The 1,104-nt window shown below is 53.1% G+C and overlaps 1 annotated feature.

Annotated features, from left to right (window-relative positions):
• Positions 331-831: an enhancer, noted in NCBI's record as "H3K4me1 hESC enhancer chr21:42474333-42474833 (GRCh37/hg19 assembly coordinates)". NCBI's record gives its function as "activates a minimal SCP1, AML or CMV promoter by ChIP-STARR-seq in naive H9 embryonic stem cells {active_cell/tissue: H9 hESC(naive)}" and the evidence as "EXISTENCE:reporter gene assay evidence [ECO:0000049][PMID:30033119]".

The raw sequence follows: 1,104 nt of genomic DNA on the forward strand, positions 1-1,104 counted from the left end.
AAAAATACATGAGCAAGGAGCCGATATCATCACAGCTGCACTACGGAAAGATTCTCCTGACTGCAGGGCATAGGTCACAGGAGAAGGAGAAACTGGGTGTGTGGGATCAATGCAAAGGAGGCTGCTTGGGTCTCCGTGAACGGTGATGAGGGTCTGAATTATAGGGATGGGGATGAGAAGAGAAAAGAGCAGCCAGACGCCCAGCAGGTGAGGGGCTGCAGGACTGCAGGACAAGGCTTGGTAGGCTGTGACAGCTGCTGGAAGGTGGGAAACGTGAGAGGGAGCGCCTGAGAATGTCTGACCAAGCAGGGGTGGGGGAGGGAGGTTGCGGGGCTTCCCCTGGGGAAGCAGGACGAAGCTGGTGCCCCACTGCAGGAACTGAGAGGCCCCAGAGGAAAAGGGAAGTGAGGGCCTGGATCTGAGGGAAAGATCAGGCCTGCAGATACCAAATCATGCATCCTGCATACAACGCAGAGCTGAGCACAATGGAGAGGGGACACTGGTGAGGGAAGGGGGAGGACCTGGCAGACTCTTTGATGAAGCCTGGGTTCGGAGGGCTAGAGGGACAGCAGAGCCAATAAAAGGCCTGGGAGAAGGAGCTGTGGGTCAGGAGGGGAGGGAAGCTAGTGCCTGGATGTTGTGCTCAGTCCCAAGTAGGGTGCTGAGTGCACCCACAACGCTCCACGCTACAGACTCCAGCATCCACCCTACGACGGACAGATCCCTGCAGGTGGGAAAACAGAGGCTCAAGGCCCTCATGAGATTCCGTGGTCCATGCACATGGATCCCACAGCATGGATGCCTATGTCAGTGGCCCATGCCGGCCCCCCTCTTCTGACTCCTATTATGCCATGTCCCTCTCTATGTCTGCACCCCACTTAATCGTTTTTTTTTAAATTGTGGTAGAACATGTAACATGAGATCTACCCCTCTTAATAGATTTTTAAGTGTACAATATAGTGTCGTCATCTATAGACACAATGTTTACAACAGGTATCTAGAACGTACTTGTCTGGCTTAACTGAATTTTTTTTTTTTTTTTTTTTTGAGACGGAGTTCCACTCTTGTTGCCCAGGCTGGAGTGCAGTGGCGCGATCTCGGCTC

The sequence above is a fragment of the Homo sapiens genome, chromosome 21, assembly GCF_000001405.40.
Source record: "Homo sapiens chromosome 21, GRCh38.p14 Primary Assembly".
Taxonomy (NCBI): domain Eukaryota; kingdom Metazoa; phylum Chordata; class Mammalia; order Primates; family Hominidae; genus Homo; species Homo sapiens.